The 20245-nt window shown below is 40.6% G+C and overlaps 1 protein-coding gene across 56 annotated transcripts in view, besides 2 other annotated features; it reads right to left on the bottom strand.

Annotated features, from left to right (window-relative positions):
* FGGY (FGGY carbohydrate kinase domain containing) overlaps positions 1-20245 on the bottom strand; it is a 466353-nt gene that overhangs the window by 335275 nt on the left and 110833 nt on the right. The window contains exon 1 of one of the 56 annotated variants that reach the window (XM_017001677.2): positions 24-20245. This exon is cut by the window's right edge and continues 13898 nt beyond it. The exons of the other annotated variants lie outside the window; for them this stretch is intronic. The gene's annotated coding sequence lies outside the window, so the exon portion shown is untranslated. The remainder of the gene's footprint in view (positions 1-23) is intronic. 56 annotated transcript variants of the gene reach the window in all.
* Positions 12950-13119: an enhancer, noted in NCBI's record as "experimental_8792 CRE fragment used in MPRA reporter constructs". NCBI's record gives its function as "activates a minimal promoter by MPRAs in K562 erythroleukemia cells, with activity observed for both the introgressed and non-introgressed 1:59880094 or rs11582325 variant alleles {active_cell/tissue: K562}" and the evidence as "EXISTENCE:reporter gene assay evidence [ECO:0000049][PMID:34662402]".
* Position 13034: a transcriptional cis regulatory region, noted in NCBI's record as "Neanderthal adaptively introgressed variant 1:59880094 (GRCh37/hg19 assembly coordinates) or rs11582325 in the experimental_8792 CRE". NCBI's record gives its function as "modulates activity of the experimental_8792 enhancer by MPRAs in K562 erythroleukemia cells {active_cell/tissue: K562}" and the evidence as "EXISTENCE:reporter gene assay evidence [ECO:0000049][PMID:34662402]".

Here is a 20245-nt window from a genome sequence, read left to right as displayed (position 1 = left end):
ACGGCAAGGTAACCAACTCTTACCTCCGCCATCTCGTGTCTCATTCGGTCATGAGTAAAGCAGCAGCTATGCAGTTAGTGTCACCAAGAGATCAGTCACCACCTGAGGCCATCTGTTTCTGTCAGGCAGGCAGATTCCCAGCATGCACTGGTCCCAACTGGATTTTTGTGGGGAGGGAGGCAGCAAGGGCCCCAGCTGCTGTCACCAGACAGGGAGGCGCCTTCTCTTCACCTCCGTCCTGGGTGCCTGCTATGGACCTGAGTTCCCAGCTGTCTTTGTGGCTAGAGTCTTTCCTTGCCTGACTCAGAATATTAAATGTGCCCTCTTTCCAAAGGGAGAATTGAAAACCTTTTTTGTGTGTTCGTTGATTCATATCTGTGATAGCAAGAGGTGGGTGAGGTAGAAAGTCAGGCTTATCCTGTTTGCAGGTGGCATAATCAGTTGAAAGATTTTTATGTCCCTCAAGTCCCCAGCATGCTTGGCCTCTGAAAAAGGTTTCAAAACAAAATAATAATCATGATCATAATAATCAAAGCTGTATTAGCATTGCCTGGACTGGCTGACAGAATTGCAGGCAACCAGTTTTTTTTTTTTTTTCAGTGTTAATCTCATCCAAAGCAACTTAGATTGCTACAACCATCTCATCCATCCATTCAACAAATATTTACTGCAACCAACTAAGGTTCTAGACACAGTTCTAGGGATTGCGGAGCAAGCAGGCAGGTCCCTGACTTCATGGAGCAAAAGTAAACAAGTAAACAAAAGCAAAAGTAAACAAGTAAAAAGTAAACAAGGGCCAGGAGGACATAAATATATTAACGTAGGGGAGGCCTGTGAGTTAGAAATTCAGGGATGGCCTCTCCAATGGGGGAACTCCTGAGGTGAGACCAGGCTGGATAAGAATGTCAAATACACTATCACTTTTTGAAATTAAAACATATTGTGAAATTTATTTTTCAGTCCTGAATTACTGGTATTTTTGAGGGTGAAATAATGTTATTCCAGACATCAGTCAGCAACTTCATTCATCCTCCTTGACTCTTCCCAACTCAATTCCTTCCTCCTTCCCCTCCCTTCACTCCCCTTCCCACCCTGGATACCCTAATGACAAGCCTTCCAGGACCCTCTATGCCATGGAGCTCCGCAATTCCTCTGCCCCAATCCATTTCTGCTGGGGAAAGGGAGGAATTCAATCCCAGAAGAGCCATTTCTTCTGGACTAGCAAGGACAGAAGTCAAAATTATGGGAACTGGGAGCTGCTGACTAAAAGCGGAACTGCCCAGAGGTGGTGGTGCTGGAAGCTCAGGTAGAATGGGGTGAGAGATGGACATGTTAAATGCCCTCCACCCTCCTCCATGCAGGAGACAGGAGCTCTAAGGGTAATCCAGGACAGAGAGAATTGATTTCAAAAGCAGTACTCCAGTGGTGCACAGAGAAAAGTTTTGTATCATGTTCCTAAATTTTCGTATTTGAAACTTATTCAATTTCAAAAATTAAAAAAAAATATGAATTGTGAACACTCTTAAAATCATATTCCTTGGAATTATGTGGAATAAACACTGAAAAATCAATTCCATTATTTGGCTCCAATACCACCACAGGGTAAGGAGTCAGCTGATTTTCTGAAAAATGAAAAGAGCCAGAGGAAAAGAATGTCTGTCAAAGGGAACAGTAAATTCAAAGAACATAGGCCAGAAAAGAACTTGACATGCTCAAGGAAACCAAAAGAAACAGAGGTGGCTGGAAAAAACAGTGGGAAAAGGAGAGATGGTACACGACAAAGTAAAAGAATTAGACAGAGGCGAGAATCATGACCATGAATGAGAGCTTTAACTCCAATGTCTATAGGAACACAGGCATGAGGCAGAGCCTGCAGAAGGAAAGCCAGGCAATGCGGTTTGTCACTGGAAGAGTAGCTCTAATTTTTCTCCCAAAATGGAAAGCTCATTTCCCTTTCCCTCCTCTACGCATTATGCTCCTCCTGCCAGAAAAGCCTTCCCTTCACAAGTGTAATGGGAAGGGCGAGATCTATATATCAGACAATTTGGGGGCAAATATCCATTTCCAATTTTCCAATGTTAAAAAAGTAAAGAAATGTGATAGAAATCCCCAAAACACACTTAAAAGGCCATAAAAATACTGGAATCTATTATAATTCTAATTGTTATGTGCCAATATAATAATCATGCAAATTTAATCAAATGTTACTACGTCATCCAAATAATCCATGTTTCCCAGGTATTTCAGACACACTATACCTATATATCAGCTTTTACTTACCATTTATTGAGAGCCTAATGTACGCTAGGCATTATGCTACATGCTTTATATATGATATCGCTTTTACGGCTCACAAGCATATTCTAAGGGAAGTAATATTGATTTCATTTTATGGGCAAGGAAACTGAAACTCAGAGATCTCAAGATCACATAGCAGATAAGGGAAAGAGTCCAAATTTGATTCTAGATGTATTTGGTCTAAAACCCATATTCTTTCCAATAGAGCAAGAGCTTTTCTAAAACTGTGACTCTCTGAAGAGTAAAGCTCACAACCAGTTTTAGTGCTTCTTCAATGCCTATATCCTTCATAACTGGCTTATGTGTGAAGCCCTCCTTGACCACTTCAACCCACACAAATCATGCCTTCCTTTGACCCTAAACAGCACTGAATGGTGCCTACCATCCATTTATTCATTGAACAAACATATCTTGAAAACTGACTGTATGCCAAGTGTGAAGACATAATTGCCAAGACAAAGTCCCTGTCCTCAGGGAGCTCACAGTGCAAGGTGGAGATCAAAAATCGACACATGAAAAATAAAGTATTACCAGCACCAAACAAGCTGAACTAAATTGCATATTTTCTTGGTTTTCTTACTCATTCTTTTATTTTATTTATTTATTTTTTAAGAGACAGAGTCTCACTCTGTCGCCAGGCTGGAGTGCAGTGGCGCGATTTTGGCTCACTGCAACCTCTGCCTCTCGGGTTCAAGCGATTCTCCTGCCTCAGCTTCCCGAGTAGCTGGAATTACAGGCGTGTGCCACCACGTCCAGCTAATTTTTGTATTTTTAATAGAGACGGGGTTTCACCATGTTGAGCAGGACAGTTTCAATCTCTTGACCTCATGATTCGCCTGCCTCGGCCTCCCAGAGTGCTGGGATTACAGGCGTGAGCCACAGTGCCCGGCCTCATTCTTCACATGTATTAATTCTACTTCTCAAATGGGCTGTGAAGCTGCCATGTGCAAGCACTCTGGCGGCACCTGTATTTGTATGGTATTTAGAATGGTACTGAAGACACACAAGTTCCTCACACATCTTCATGCATTGATTATTAGCTTCTTTTCAGATCTCGGCCTATCATGGTAACCATCTTTATTTGCCTATTCACTCAAGTCCTCCTTCAGTTATTACACACTGACTGTAAGTGGCCTATGTAGTAAGTACTGTGAATGATTTGAAAACAACACCTTGCCTCCCCTTGGAGGGCACCATAGCCTAGAGAGGGAGGCAGGCAGATGTCTGTGAACAGGTGAGACAAGGTGGTAGAGTTGTGCTAAGAAAGAAACTGCTGAAAGGCTTCATGAAGGAGTAGGAATCAAAGAATGCATAGGAGTTTGCCAGGCAGGTCAAAGAAGGAACGAAACTCCAGCTGGAGAAACAGAGACATGAAAGTACCTGGTTTCCAAGGCATCTTTGGTGAGCCACGGTAGTATGACCTGCCAGAAGCTGGGTGGAGTGGGAGAAGCATGCGGAGAAACAGGGCCAGACCAGGAAGGGTATTCAGTGCTATGCTCAGAGACTCAGCATTTTTTCCTCAAGAACTGGGGAGTCACTGAAGGGGTTTAATATTGGAGGAACATAATCAGACCTTTATTTGAAAGAGGATCCCCCTGAGAAAAGTGGGCCGGAAAGCAGAGGACAGGCTGCAGATAGGAAGACCAGTATGGAGGCTGTTGTAATATACCAGGTAAGTGGCAGTGAGGGCTGGAATCTATTGCTGGGACTTTTCCTTTGCATCCAACATATTGATCTTCACGGTATCAGAGAAATCTGACATGCTGAATGGTGTCCACGTTGGCACAAAATTTCAACATTCTCAGGTCTGTTACAAGGTGCCAAAGAAAAAAAAATCAGATATGGGTGAACCACCTAGGAGAGGCTTCTGTGCTTCAGCTGCCACACTCCTTTGCCAAATAGTTTCCCAGAGATCATACCAGGCATTCTGAGCAGAGACAAAGGCTTTCGGTGGGACCTTTACCCAGTATTGGACAGAGAAAAACAAACTTGCTGGTACAATCCAGTAAAGGAAGCTCTGGCAGCTTGCCCAATTGGTCCAGTTTCCTGATCTCTGAACAGATTTCCCCTCCTGCTACACAATCCTCTGGAGCCAAGAAAGAATTGAGAAATAGGCTGGAGTGTTCGGAAAGGCTGCCTGGCACAATAGTATCCAAACACCCCTGCTGCCACGTGTTTACTATGTGACTCTAGGAAAAATACTAAACTTCTCTGGGCTTTAATTTTACTGAATACAAAATTGGGTAATAATCATTGCATGCCAAGGTTAAAATTAAAGAAGAAAATATAAATTATGAGTCAAGTTTACTATAATAGTAGGCCTTCAATAAATATCAGTTGCCTTTCCTTTTCCTGTCTTTCCTTTTAGTATTTGCCATTTATTAATATTTACCTAGTGCTTATATAATAACTGCTATATGGAAGGTCTTATTCATAAGCAAGTAACCTTTTTTTTTTTTTTCCTTTGAGACAGGGTCTCGCTGTCACCCAAATCGGAGTGCAGCGCATGATCACAGCTCACTGCAGCCTCAACCTCCTGGGCTCAAGCAGTCCTCCTACCTCAGCCTCCTGAGTAGCTGGGACTAAAGGCACGCACTACCTCACCTGGCTAATTTTCCAGTTTTTTAGTACAGATCGGTTTTTCCATGTTGCCCAGGCTGGTCTCAAACTCCTGGGCTCAAGCAATCCACCCAATTCAGCCTCCCAAAGTTGCTGGGACTACTGGCGTGAATCACCACGCCCAGCCCAGCAAGTCAAAATAACAATTAAAAACAATAACACCAACAAAAAACTTGACACATCCATTTTTTACAAGGTAGGACTATATGGAAATACAACCTCAATCTGCTCCTGAGCAACTGAATCTATTAAAAGGCATTGAACCTGGTAAATCACCAAACTATTGGAACATGAGAATCGTGTAGAAACCTGATAAAATTACAGATATTTAGATTCTATTTCTACCCAGGACTACTGAATCAGAATTCCCAGAGGGTTATCCAAGTATCGTCACTAAATTTTTTAAGAATTAAACTGAAAATCTCTCCAGGTGATTCTTGCCATCAATGACTTACTTTCTGAGGCTAGTTTGGGATCCAGTGATCTAATCTCTTTTTCTACATAGGCAATGATTAAATCAGACCAATATCACAGCACACTCTCAAAGCCAAGGGCTGACTCCAAATCAAAGTAACAAAGTAAGGGTGGGATCCCAGGTATCTCCTTTAAAACTCCAGACTAATAATAAAAAGGAAGTGTCCTTAACTTCAACCCAAATCCTTCACATTCTCATCATGGCAACGTTTTTAAAAAACAGACCACAGTGGCTGACTGTGGAGTGGTAGTCTAGTCAAATGAGACCTCAAGCCCAAGAAGGCTACTCAGAGGTCAAGGCATGCCCTAAACATCTACAATACCCATCTGGGTCCCTAGGAAGTGTCAGGCCTTTGTATTGCCAAGACAATATATCTCAAGTATACCTGCCAACCTGATATAAAACATGCATCCTCTTCTTGTCAGCCCAAATGAAGGCCAGAAAAAGAGAACAGAAGGGAAGAGAAGCTGGGGCAGTGGGGGAGAAAGGAGGGGAAGGAGGAGGGGAGGGAAAAAAGAAGAAAAGGGAGTGAGGGAAGGAGAAAAGGAGAGAGGGAGAGAGGGGGAGAGGGAGAGAGGGGGAGAGGGAGAGATGGAGGGAGGGAGGAGTTTTAACTATACCACACCCTGATTCTTTTTAAACAAATTCCAGGCTTTTAAAAAATTTTTCTGTAAATATTTCAGCATGTATCTATAAAAGGAGGTATCTTTCAAAAAATAGCTAATTATCAATATCATAATTAAAAAGAATAATTCCTTAATATCATCATATAGCCATTCTGTATTGATATATGCCTCCTATGTTTTACTTTTCTTAACAGTTGTTGTTTGAATGAGGGTTCAAATAAGGGTGACACACCACGAGTGTTCCATATGTCTCCTGTCTCTTTTTGTTACAGGTATCCTCTCTAACACTCTTCTTTTCCCCTTTGTAACTTTTGTTAATCAAAGAAACTGGTCCACCTAAGTGGCTTTTTAGGCTAGAGTGTATTCTTCATCAGAAAGAGATCTCCTTGCTCTAAGAAAATACTTGGGAAACTTTTTTTTTTTAAATTAATGATTGTAAGACAACACTGGATTTTTCAAAAACAGCTTTTCTGGTAAGTGTAAAGCATTATCAGAAACATGTCCTAAAACAGCAGTTGGCACAAATACCCCCAAAAAATACTTATGTCCAAAGCTTCTTGGTGGCCGGGCATTTGGGAGTGAATTTGAGCCTCTTTGTGATTACTGGGATCACCCATTTCTGTTAGTGTCATCAAAGAGAAAAAAAAAATTGAAAAGGATCTTTCTAGTCTTCAGAGATCTCAGCAATATAATATTTTGATCATTTCAGGGTAGAAGAATTAGAAACATATGGAGTACATTTCCCTTAATGGACACCAGGGTACAAGCACTTGGAAAAATACATTTGGGGAAGTCTTGAACCCTACAAGCTTGAAAAATAATTTGACAAATTCTGTGAACTCCAAATGCCCTGGAGTCAGTCTCTACCGTTTAAGTACACTGGACTCACAAAATGGATGAGGTTTCCTCATGCCTCTCATCATACCTTCCCAAAACAATGTCAAAGACTGAGATCCAAGGACAAATACAGCCTCTGCCTTTGGGGTATTGCTGGCAAGGTAATAGAGCCCTGTTTTCACAACACGTGGGAAGTACATACCCAACTCCTTGGGAATAACGACTTCACTAATGTGGGTCTTGTCAAGGGTCAGTCTTTTCTAATGTTATCACCTCTATCTGTACCACCATTGGAAAAATTCCTAATTCCCTCTGGACATTGATCCAGCCACCCAAAATCAGATTCAGGAGACATTTTCTGGTGCCTCACAGCATTTGGAGTCAGGATGTACAGAGAGAGAGAAGCTACACACATGAGATGTTCATTTATTTCCACTCAGGGATAAGGTACAATTCTGCCTTGTGAAGGGCCCAAAGCGGCTGCTTATAACAAATTTACATTTCATAATTTCAGGAACTGGTGAGGATTCAACTAGTGAACAAGCCAAGATGCTTTCTTGAAGAGCATCGTCACAGAATGAAAACTGTCAAATCACTACACATTATCTCATTTTGAATTAAACTTCAGAAGATTCTGAACTAATAGGCTTACAAATGGAAAGCCAACTTATCAACAGCTTAGCAGCATTTACCATAGAGTTGTTTGCAAAATTGGCTTTGAAAATATGCTGTGTACTCAAAGGCTAGGATTAGCATGTTGAAAAAAAAATCCATTGACACATAATTTGCATGTGTGATTTTCTAAGCCCACATGGATAATTCATCTTCACTGACGGCAGACACTCTCAGGCAAACCTCCATATTATGCTTAACTCTGGACCTAAAATCATCAATTAGTAGTTCATCAAGAATCCTTTTCTCCTCTTAGGGCCTTTTAGAACTGAGCCACGGAGAATAAGTTCACTACCCCATTTAGAAGTCAACTCTTCCAAGGCCACAGCGAGTTTCCCCGTACAACTCCAATCTCATAACTTTCTGAGAGTCACAGATGTTCTCAGATGAATACTTGGAACCAGTTCTCTAGGTTTCCAGGGTGATTCCCCTGGGATATAAAAAGAGCATATCCAAGCCCCACTCTTCATAACTCATTTAAATCAATACTGCTTTTTACTCAGCTCATAGTGAGTAGGTTAGTCAGGATAAGAATTATCAGCTTGGTGGTCTATGTCTCTACTGATGCAATTAGCAAGATAATTACCAGATCTTTATTTTAATACAAAATACAAAGCTTAACTGGTATTTTTTTACCTCTAGCCTCATTTCCTCCAATATTCTTTTCACAATGCTGCCAGAGGGTTGTCTAAAAAGCCATAATCATATAATGTCCTACTTAAAAATATTTGACGGCTTCTTGCCACTTAGAGGATTTTAGAAAACCACCACTGCCACTAGCACCACAACCACCACCACCAACCAGAACAAAACAACATTGATATGCATTGCGGACCCTTTATAATCTGGTTCCAGTCTCTATTCCTAGCCTTCTCTACAGCCATAGCTCCTACAGCCAGTTTTCAGCCATACCAAACGTCTTACCATTCTCTTTATTTCAGTATGCCAGGCCCCTTCTGGCTTCCATACTTTTCTATGTATTGTCCCTAGGAAACCCTGGCCTGTAGCCCAAATGTGCCTGCTGCCAGTTTTTGTAAATAAAGTTCCATTAGAACACAGCCATGTCCATTCATTTATGGCCTGTCTTAGGCTGCTTTTTCACTATAAGGACAAAGTTGTGTGAAAGGAAAATAAAATCTTTGGACCCCAAACTCACTATGTTAAAGAGAAAAGTTAAGCTTGGGAACTGAGTCACACACACACACACAAAAAAAGAAAAAATCAAAAAACTGCCATCCTTTTGTTCTCAAATGGGTTGCTGTAACTTCACATGCTTCCTTTATCTTACGTAAAATGTAGATTTACTGAGCATAAATGACTTTCCCCCACTCCTCTTTTCACATGTAAACTGTGGATTTGGTGAGCACTAATCAAAGCCTCACAAGAATGTAACCACTTGCCTCATCGCCTATGCCCCTCAAACTTTTTTTTTTCTTTCCTCCTTCCCTTCCTGCTCACTCTTTCCCTTTTAAATCCTGAAGTCCTCACAATCCTCTTTGGACAAAACACCAGTCACAGATCCTAACGTAACTTGTGTTTATTTTCTCGGGTGCTTCCTCAACCTTGGCAAAATAAACCTCTCTAAATCGATTGAAATCTGTCTCAGACACTTTTTGGTTACAGTTCAATAGTTGAAACAGATATCATATAGTCAGCAAAGCCAAAATATTTACTATCTGACCCTTTGCAAAAGACATCTGCCAAGCCCTGGTCTAGAATTTTGCCCTCCCACTCAACCCCTGCCCCAGTTCTTCCCTTGGTAAACTCTGATGCATCTTTAGGAGTTATACACTGAGTCTGCATAACCTCCTTTTCTGGGACCAGGACACCTCACTCTTTCTGGAGTACCAATCCTTCCTTAGCTTAACAAAACCTCAATTTTATTTAGAGAAGTCATATGCCCAGCTATAAGTGATCAATCATGGTGGTTCTAAGCCAGTGCTGTCCAACAGAAGTTTCTGCAATCATGTAAATTATCTTTATCTGCAACTGTCCAATAACATAGCCACTATCCACACACAGCAACTGAGCACTTGAAATGTGGCCAGTATGACTGAGGAACTAAGTTTTCTATTTTACTTAAAGTTAATTAATTTAAATTTAAGTACCTATTATAATTCAACAATAAAAAGACAATCCAATTTTATAATGGGCATATGATCTGAACAGACATTTCTGCAAAGAATATATACAAATGGAAAATAGGCACATTAAATATTCTCAACATTAGTAGTCATTACATAAAGGCAAACCAAAACCACAATGAGATACCACTTCACACCCACTAAGATGGTTATAATAAAAACAAACAAAAAATAACAAGTGCTCACAAGGATGTGGAGAAATTGGAATCCTTACATGTTCCTACCAGGATGTACAAAATGTGTAGCCACTTTGGAAAACAGTTTGACATTTCCTCAAAGGGTTAAACATGGTGTTACCATAAAACCCAACAATTCCACTCCTTCTAATAGGCTCAAGAGAATTCAAAGAAAAATCAAAACTATGTTGATATAAAAACTTGTACATCAATCAGTGTTCACAGCAGCATTAGTCACAGTAACTAAAAAGTGAAACAATCTAAATGTCCATCAACAGATGAATGGATAAACAAAATAGGATACATCCATGCAACAGAGTATTATCAATTAAAACAGGAACTGATAAAAAAATTACTGGCACATACTACAACATAGATGAACCCTGAAAAAATTATGCCAAGTGAAAGAAGCCAAACAAAATGTCCAGGAAAATCCATAGAGAAAGAAAGTAGGCTAGTGGTTGCCAATGGCTAGGTGTAGAGGGATATGAGGACTTACTGCTACGGATATGAGATTTCTTTTGAGGGCGAAGAAAATGTTTTGGAATCGGATACTGGGGTATGGTTGCATAATCCTGTGAATATACTAGAAATACTATACTGTATACATAAAATGGTGAATTTTAGGGTATATGAATTATATCTCTCTAAAAAAATTTAAATAGCCATATAGCTAGTAACTATCATATTGGAATGTGCAGGTTTAAGCCAACCATGATAATCTTGTTTTCCACTTTCCCTGCTTCTTGCTGCTAAGAGTGGCCATGGGACTTAATTCCAGCCAATAAGACCTAAGCAGAAGTATAGTAGGAAGAGAAGATTCCTGGGAAAGGTTTTGCTCCTCTCATTTAAAAAACAAAACAAAAAATCTCATCATGCTCTTCTCACCAATTCTTCCAGCATCAAAGGAGAATGTAACGTCCAGAGATGCAGCAACTATCCTACAACCATGAGGCAGCTAGCATGAGGGAAAAGTCCAAAGAATTAAAGATATGCTGAAGGTGACATGGTCAAATCATCTTTGTACTTGTAATTTAGGGGTGTGAGAGTGGGAAATCAAGACTATTTGTGTTTTGGTCACTGTCAAATGGATATATGGTGAAATGATTTAATATAGTATATGTAAGGCATTCATAACAGTTCCTGGTGCATAACTACTAAATAAGTTAGGTATGATTATTGTCATCATAAATCACTCTCAAACTTTTTTTTCACTATCGCCCCCACTAAAGACCCTTTCCAGACAGTCTTTTCCTTTTCCCTGCCACTGTGAAATTTCAATACCACAGACAGATTGTGTATCTACTTATGCTGTTACATAAGGATGGGCTTTAGAAGGCCACAAATGATTGTAATATCTAAGATCTTTTTCATCCCCCAAGAACCAATTTTTGCTCCCTTGCAAATGCATTCCTGATACATGCTTCTTCCCCACTGCAACTAACTGATTTAAATAAAAGCTTTTTTGCATTGTCACTGCAGCTGAAAGCATTCCTAACTGATTCATTCTCTTCTCCACTGTAACTAATTGATTTAAATAAGACCTGTCATAGTTGTACAGATCCTACCCTATTGGCCACACAACAGATTCCTCTGGGAATGAGCACTTGACCAAAGCTGAGATCACTGTAATATACCTCTCCATGGGTATAGTTGGTTCAATAAGGGATGTAGGTACACTTGACCCAAATGAAACTAATCAGAATTCTTTCCCAGGGCTTTGAAAACAGAAAGGAGAAAGCACAGTCAGTTGCTCTCTGTTGTAGAAGCTACGGTGTTATGAGCTTGAGAACTTCCAGTAGCCGTGTGGTAGAAGCTGGGCAACATGAATAAAGACAGCATTTACAAGACAATGCTAGACACTGACCTGGAGATGAATAAAATTCAGTCCTGGACCTAGAGGAGACCACAGTCTAGTGGTGGAGAAAACCGCAAAACAGTGTGATAACTGCTAGGGGCAGCCCAGGAGCTGCAGGAGCTCAGAGGAGAAGCATCTGAAGGGCCAAAGGCTTCCTGGGGATGGGGCACTAGACCTGAATCCATGGGCACATCGTAAGAAATGACATACACGTTCACTCTAGTCTGTCCATAGTCAAGTCAGCTATGCTGCAGCTGTGAATTCACATACCTCAGTAACCCAGAGAAGGCAATATTAGCCAACAGTAATAATTTGAAGGCAGTACTAACATATTTCTAAATAGCACTTATGGATGTCTGGTTTTCTGATGACAGAAAATCTGGAATACAGAAAAATATAATGAAGAAAAAAATCAACACTTGTTGTGAAATCACAACACAGTTTTATTTGTCTTATATAGGAAAACAACTTTATTGAGGTATATTGCTCACATTTTAATAAAACTTCTTTCAGCCTTTTCCAAATCTGCAAAAAAACACTTAAGTATTTTCATTTTTGATCTTCCCAAAGCTTTTTGAGATAGGCATTTGCCCTTGGCCCCACCAGACGGCAAAGAAATCGGTGCCTGCTGACCTTGAGCTGAGGGTAACTCCGTTAGCGAGTGGGGCAGATGTGATCCTGTCCCAGACTCACTGACTCTAAAGCACAGCCACTACCACCACCACCTCACTCCTCCACAAATATCTGACCACAAGAACCAACCACACAGAAAGAATGCCCAGATGTCCCAGACATCTTCCATGTGCTCTTCAAATTCAATCTCTAACTTTCTCCACCCTGCCTTGTAAGCCAGGATGCTGATGGGTGTGGAGCACACCAGAGGGCTCTTCTGCCTCTGGCCTCCAGCCAGGTTCAGCTAATGGAGGACACAGAGGGATATCAGTGGACTAGGAGAAAGTGTAGGATGGCTGCAGCTCTCCACCAAAGGTCACAAAGGTAAGTACCTCCACAAAACAATCTCCCCAGGGCCTGCTCGTAGCCCCTCTCCTTGTTCCTTAGGCCCAGAGAGAGTACCAGCCCCACTTTAGATAGCCAAGCATCTTGCACTATCCATGTGGTTTCCCTACACTTGTCCACTCTTCTCGGATTACCCCATTTAAATGTGCCACCTGTTTCACGCAGGATCCATGGCTGATACACTGACAAACAGAAGGGACACAGGTGCCCCCAGAGGGTTCTGGATGAACTCCAGAGGGTCCTCTCCCACCTTAATGCTGCCTCACAATGGCAGCTTCCAGAGGGAGAAGATAAAGAGCAGCTATCCTTATGTGAAGATGAAGATTAAGTGCATTATCCATCCCCTTCCTTGAAGTCCTGCCTCATCTAGATACCCCAAATGAACACACATTTCCAGGTAACAAGAACCTGGATAAAGGCCTACTTGTGGTGAGGACTTAAAGATGGAATACAGTATGCCAGGTCACCACAAATCAACCTTTCCTTGCCACCTGCACCCTTAGTCCTCTTTCTGGGCCTTCAAAAGCTGAATTTCCTGAACAAACAGAATAGAGCAAATTAATTATGGCACAAGGAAGGTAAAGGCTGTCAACCTGAAGTTTCATTTTCCCTTAACTAGTACAAACAAATGTCAAAACAGTCATGACAAGAAGAATTCAACATATTTTAATACAGTTAGTTATTCTAATAATTTCCTACTTTCCAGCAGATTTTTGTCCCCAGCTCCATGTAGAAGGGTCCAGCACTGCCAAATCTGTTTTTTGGGTTTTTTTGAGATGAAATCTCACTCTATTGCCCAGGCTGGAGCACAGTGGTGCAATCTCGGCTTGCTACAACTTCCACATCCCAGGTTCAAGCAATTCTCATGCCTCAGCCTCCCAAGGAGATGGGACTACAGGCATGTGCCACCACGCCCAGCTAATTATTGTATTTTTTGTAGAGACGGGGTTTTGCCATGTTGCCCAGGCTGCTCTCAAACTCCTAGCCTCAAGCAATCCGCACACCTCGGCCCCTCAAAGTGCTGGGATTACAGTCATGTGTCTGGCCCCAAATCTGGAAAGCTGCAAGTCTGGGTTTTTTTTTATGTTTGGTACCTAAATGAATTTCTTAAAAACTAAATAAATAAGCATGAAATAGCTGAAACAATATGCATCTATGAGCAGAACTTGCTGACTGCCACTGTTATTCATGCACTGAGAATCTCTAAGCATTCATCACAGTACTCTGAATGGTTATACTCCTGTCTCACCCACAAACAAGACAACGCCTTAAGGTCAGGTCACTGTCATTTATTCACTGGCTCTTTCATTTATTTATTTCAATTCATATATCATTTTTCCTCTTTCTCCCATGTACTCATCCATTCATCCATCCAACTCATCAATAAATAGATTTAAATCCCTATAAGCACTTTGTTGGGAATACAAAGTAAACAAACATAGTCCTGCCCTCAGAGTGCTCCTAGTCCAAGAAGGAGAGATGCAGGTGAACAATTCTAAGGCGTACACTGACATCACTATTATAAATGAATACTGTGCTCAAAGCACAGCACACCAACAACAGAAAAAGGACTTAAAATGTCCCTGGGGGTGGAGAGCTGCTTTAGATGAGATCTGAGCTAAGGATAGAAATCTGCCAGCTTGGTAAGTCAGAGAGGGCATTCCAGGTCAAAGAAACAATCTGTGCAAATGCATGGGAGTTGGAAGAAAGGTGGCACAATCTGAAGAATCATAGGAAAGCAGTTCTAGTGCAAAACAGAAAATGAGGGCTCTTGCACTTCCTCTTTCCTGTGAATAGATCAGTCTTCTCTCAGCCCATTTCTTCTTGCTGACCCCTTATCAGTTCAAATGTCATTTCCTCAGAGTGTATGTGGTAACCATCCCAATGCCAGGCCCCACGTGGCCCACTCTCTGCCCTCTCCCTGTTGCATTTTCTTAAAAGCACTTATAATTCAGCTGAATTGGTTTTATTTAGTTATTTCTGCTCCCCCAAATACAATAACTTCTATAAGATCAAGATTTTTGTCTACCTGTACACAATGTCTCACACAGGGAAAGTCTCAATAAATAAGGTGTAAATGAATGAATGAATTGGAATAAATGAATGAAAATGTGATAGTGTGAAAGTTAAGAGATTATAGAGAAGGAGTTTAAACACTGCACATCTTTTCCTGGGTCCCCGAGACAGCAGACCCAAGGAAGAGGGTTCTACTGCATCAGGTAGTGCAATCTTAGGGAGAAGGAGAGGACTGATAGACAAAGGGAATAAAACAAATAATAAGGAGGGGGAGGCAAGATGAAGTTGTGGTATCAAGATGGCCCCACTAGAAGTGACTCGTTCTCTATCCCATAGGATCATCCTCAACCTCTCCACACCCCAAGCCACATGAACTGTATCTCAGAACCATCCACGATAGAGAGAAAGGAGGCATTAATTCTCTATCCAGGTTGTACATGTGTGGGAACAGAGTGAGATCCAGAGGTAGCAACCACAAGGAAACCCCATGGAACCTCGTGGGGTGCCCTATGGAAAAGCATGCAGCATGAGGTGAGGTACTGTCAGCTTATACTGTAGGAAGTTTTTCAGAGTCTATGCAAACTTGGTCACGGCAGCTGGAACAAGAGATGGTACAATTTCCCTTTACTGTCCTCCTGAGAAGATCTGATATGGGGCCAAGAGATGTCTGATATGCAGTAATAGAAGAATTAAAATATCTACTGCTTTAGCAATGACCTAAGTGACGGAAGTGTCAGTGCACTGGGGAGAGTGGAAATCATATTATAGTGCATGAAGGAGTGACTGAGAGGAATGGATGCAGAACAGCAAGAGGAGGCTTCTCTCAGGGTTGGAGCAAGTAAAGCACAAAGTGGTATCTTCTGGCACCAGAAAGCAAAAATGCCTTAAAAAAGATGGAGACATGTCAGAAAGATAGAAAAGCTAATTTGAAGGGATCCCCATTGGTTAAAAGGACTATTTGCAAAACAAAATAATGATACTAATGGATTATAATCCAGACAATAAAATAAGAATTTGTAAGTACATACTGATACAAATAAACAACTGAATGAATAAATAAGTGTGTGGCGAGGATAAAGCCACCTACAAAGCATTCCAGTTAATAAATATAGAAAGAATTATAATCATAGAAAAACACCATATGGAAAAACCACAGGAATAATTGTTTCAGGCAAGAATTTACAATAGTTGCTAAAATTAGTGGACAAAGGTATAAGAAGCATGATATTATACATAATCTCAAAGTATCTCCCTACAAGGTAATCATTAATTACAAATGGAAAAATAGTAACTTTACAGTGGATAAACTGGAAGACACAACCTTAACAAATTGGCCAAAGTTCACATCACCTGTGATACGATAAATCGGCATCATGTGCCTCCTGCTGTGATGCACTGTGAAAGGCACAACATCATTTCTGTAGCTTCCCTGCCAAAAACACATAATTTGAATTTAATATTGTGGAAACATCAGACCAACCCAAAGTGAGGGACATTCTACAAAATGCCTAACCAGACTCCAAAAACGTCATGGTCATGAAAGACAAAAAGAGTGAGGAACTATTCCAAAGACAAAGGAGATATGACTAGTAAATGTATTGTGTGATCCTAGATTCTGGTCCAGGAAATGAAACAGTATGACAACTGGCAAAACTAGCAAAAAGTCTGTAGACTGAGTAATAGTATTATGTGAATGTTAACTGGCTGATTTTGATAGTTATACAGTGATTATGTAAGATGTTGGTAGGAGAGAAAGAAAGAAGTTGGGATGGGAAGAGTGACACAGAAGGTTCCCATAGTAACTAAAATTAATCTAATGCTTCAATAGGTGATAGGTACATGGATACTCATTATATTATTCTTTTAACCTTATATATACATTACATTTATTTTGTATATATGAACACATTATAATATTTTTTAATGAGAAGATATTAAAATACAATAAAAACAAAAAGAACGTCACCATGGTCTTCTAGATTCAATTACCTGCCCGAGCCTCAGAGTCTGAGCCCTGTTCTCTGTTAGAATTGTAAAAGGCATACTGGCACCTAACTGAGACTTCCTCTTTCATGTAACCAGATGGTTGGTAGGACAAGTGAAAGGGAATTACTTTTTCACTATGGGCATCAATGTTCTTTAACACCCTATCCCTATACCATCATCAATAATCTTACAGACCAATTATAGTTCTCACATGTGCCCCCAGGGATACATGTCCCATATACTGAGTGGAAAGAACATAATTTTATTGTAAGAGGTCTTAGGTTCAAATCCTCACTCCTCCACTTACTAGTAGTGTGATGTGGGCAAGCAAGTGACTCAACCTTTCTGAGTGCTTTCTCAGATATAAATTTGAGAAAACTTCACAGAGTTGTCATAAGGTTAACCTAGAAGAACATGTGTAAAGACCAAGTACCGTGCCTAGTACACACAGATATTCACATATGGTAACAAGATCCATCATCATTGTTGTTACTATCTTTGTTTCTCAGAAAACTGAAACTAAGAAAGCAAGCCTACCTCTGCTTTAAATACCTATAATGCTAGAAATGAAATGAGATTGCAACAGAGCATGAAAGACAATACCTTTGCATTGATTGCCACATATCTACCATGTCTATTTCAAGTGGCCTCATACCAATGGCCTTCCTCTTAATAAGGACGGCTGGTGTAGTGGGCATGGCATAAGTTCTGGAATCAGACCTGGGCTCAAATCCTGGTGTCACCTACTGTGTCCTGTGTGATCTTGAGCAAATTACCTAACCCTCTGTATTGCAGGGATTTCCTGTCTAAAATGGAGGTAATACACCTTCTTCACATGGTTCCTATCAGAATGTGCACTACATAGATGCATATTGCATAAAACAATGCCTAACACATAATGGATACTCCATAAAACTTAGTTATTTCATTTAACTAAGATATTACCAGAAGGAAATTTCCAAAGAAGGGTCATGTAAACCAAGGAGGAAATGAAGCACATGATGAAATAGAAAGACAATCTACTAACTGATTAATCTGGTCTCAATGTAACCCTACTTAGGCCTTAAGTTTCTGTAACCTCCCAGAGCTTTAGTTGCCTTGTCTGTTTATATATATATATATATATATATATAAAAAACTCTTCCTTCACAGGCTTGCAATAAGGGTTAGTTGAGGTATGAAAGTCCTTTCAGTAGTGCTGGGGACACATTTGGAGAACAATGCACACAAGCTGGAACTCAGAGAAGCTGCATGGAAACTCCCGAAGCCTCCTTATGCCTCTTGCTCCCTTTCTCAACGGCTTGAATAATGGCTGAACATTCAAGGCTGAAGGTCTGGAAGCAGTTATCCCTTCAGTCTTTTCCTGTCTAAACCATCCACAGGCCAGGCCCCTGGGCCTCTCGCAGAGGAAATAAAAGTCCATATGAAAGGGACAAATGAAAGTGTCCTTATGCTTTCTAAAATCCACACTCCCCTCCAAGCTGCAGCACAACTTCTATCAATTTTTTTCTGAATTCTGCCTTCTAAAACCTTTGTTTAATCCTCCTAAGCAACCCAAGAAAAAAATCATAATTCTATGTGTATGTTAGCTTTCAGATACTTCCTAAAGCATAGATATAAATGTCATATCCTGACTTTGAAGGAAAAATCTAAGGACAAAAGAGGGATTAGAAATTGTGAGATGGGGGAGGATGGAGATTTGAAAAAGAACTTAGGTTAAGGTTACATGGATAAAAGTTAAATAAGAAAACAAAAGTCCAGTTAAGGCTGCCGTGGTTAAAGTTACAAATAAAAGCAAACACTTCATAGATCTCTAGTTCGCGAACCCAAGAAAGCTCTGTGGAAGCTCTCCTGAGCTTGAACAACAGGCTAATTTTCAAGCAGAAATCAAAGTGGTTGGGCCTCTGGACAAATAGCTTGAAAGCCCATGCATAAGCCTGGTCTCAGAGAGTTAAAAGGAATGCAGACTGCCCCAAAACACACCAGCCGTTTGTTTTTTCTGCCACCTTTCCAAGGGTCATGTCTGGAGTGAGGATAAACAGTTCTGGGGAAAAAAATGATGTGAAGTACAGACTTTAAGAAAATTAAACATTAGAAAAACATTTCTTAAAGAGTTATACATGTGCCTGCATATACATATATATTTAGAGAGACAGAATATTTATACATATACATGCGTGCACACATATGTGTGCCAAAATTATCCAAACTCTGTAGGTTTTCAGGTATGAATAAGAATAGCTAAGATAAGCCTTTGAAATGCTGTTATGTTTTTTAAGCAAGATCAAAAGTGTCTACAAAGGCATTCCAAAAACAGCAAAAGGTGTCTGAGCAACATTTCAGTTTTATTTAATAAGTAAAGATTAAGCTGAGTGCTTTTGGTTATTATTAACAGCATATTAATAGCATATTTTATTCTAGGTTGCTTAGAAATGTATTTGCAAAGTCCCAAATAGAAGACCTAGGAGAAAGAGAGAACTTACTGGGTGCCAGGAATTGTGCTATCTGCTATTTATGCAATGTCCCATTTTTCCAGCACAACAAACATAAATGGTATCAGGTTCTCAAGCCAACACAGCTTGCAGGTGGCAAAGCCCAATGCACTTGCCCCAGAATTCGAGTTTTTCTCCATCATGACACCACATGGCCTCCCAATGAAATGCTGAGAGTCAAGGCAATCTTTTCTAGTATTACTTATGAGAACAAAGAAATATTCCGTATTCCTGGGAAAACAAAATACCACAGCAAAGTAAAGAGTACCTTTCCTGTGATTTCCACTTTAGCAGAAAGCAGATGAGAAACCTTTTGGTCCAAGAGTTAAAACAAGATGATGAACAATTTACATGTAGTAGGCAATAAATATTTAATGCCACTTGGTACAGCGGTTCTTCAAAAATGTCTTCCAGCTCTGAAGGCCTTTCTGTTAATCCACACTTCAGGGGGTGCAGCCATGGCTTGAGGAAAATACATTTTTAATAAGGACTGTGCCAACACAGGGGGCTTAAAATGCTGTATAGCATTCCAGTTTTTAGAGCCCTCAGGGAATCTCACACTCTGGGGGAAAAGGGTCCTAATGTGAAGAAGTGAATGGAAAGAGGCCAGAAAAAATTATATCCTAGGGAAGGAGGCCCTGTTAGAGCCTGGTCAGGATAACTATCAGAATATTTTTTTTTCTCTCTCCCCGTGGATGAGCTAGTCAGGTTCAAGGGAATCATATTCCAGACAAATAAGCTCAGGACAAGAGGCACCGGCTGCTTTCCAAGCATTGATGGCATCTTAGCTGCTTAATCTGTGCCTGCAGAGCTGCAACATCACACACTCAGTGTGCAGGCCCTGGTGTCGAACCACCCCCTCCTCCCTTTTCTCAGGCGGTCTTGTAAAGTGTTGGATCTTTGCTACCATTCTCTCATTTTTTGTCTTGCCTTGGCTTTTAAATCTGATGCTCTACCCAGGGGACAGGGAAGAAACTCAGAGATCAGCATCAGCAGGAAGCTTCTTCCACCCATCAGCTAAAAGGACAA

Source organism: Homo sapiens, chromosome 1, assembly GCF_000001405.40.
Source record: "Homo sapiens chromosome 1, GRCh38.p14 Primary Assembly".
Classification (NCBI taxonomy): Eukaryota; Metazoa; Chordata; class Mammalia; order Primates; family Hominidae; genus Homo; species Homo sapiens.
The sequence above is the reverse complement of the archived record's forward strand: the minus strand, read 5'-3'. Positions and strand labels throughout refer to the sequence as shown.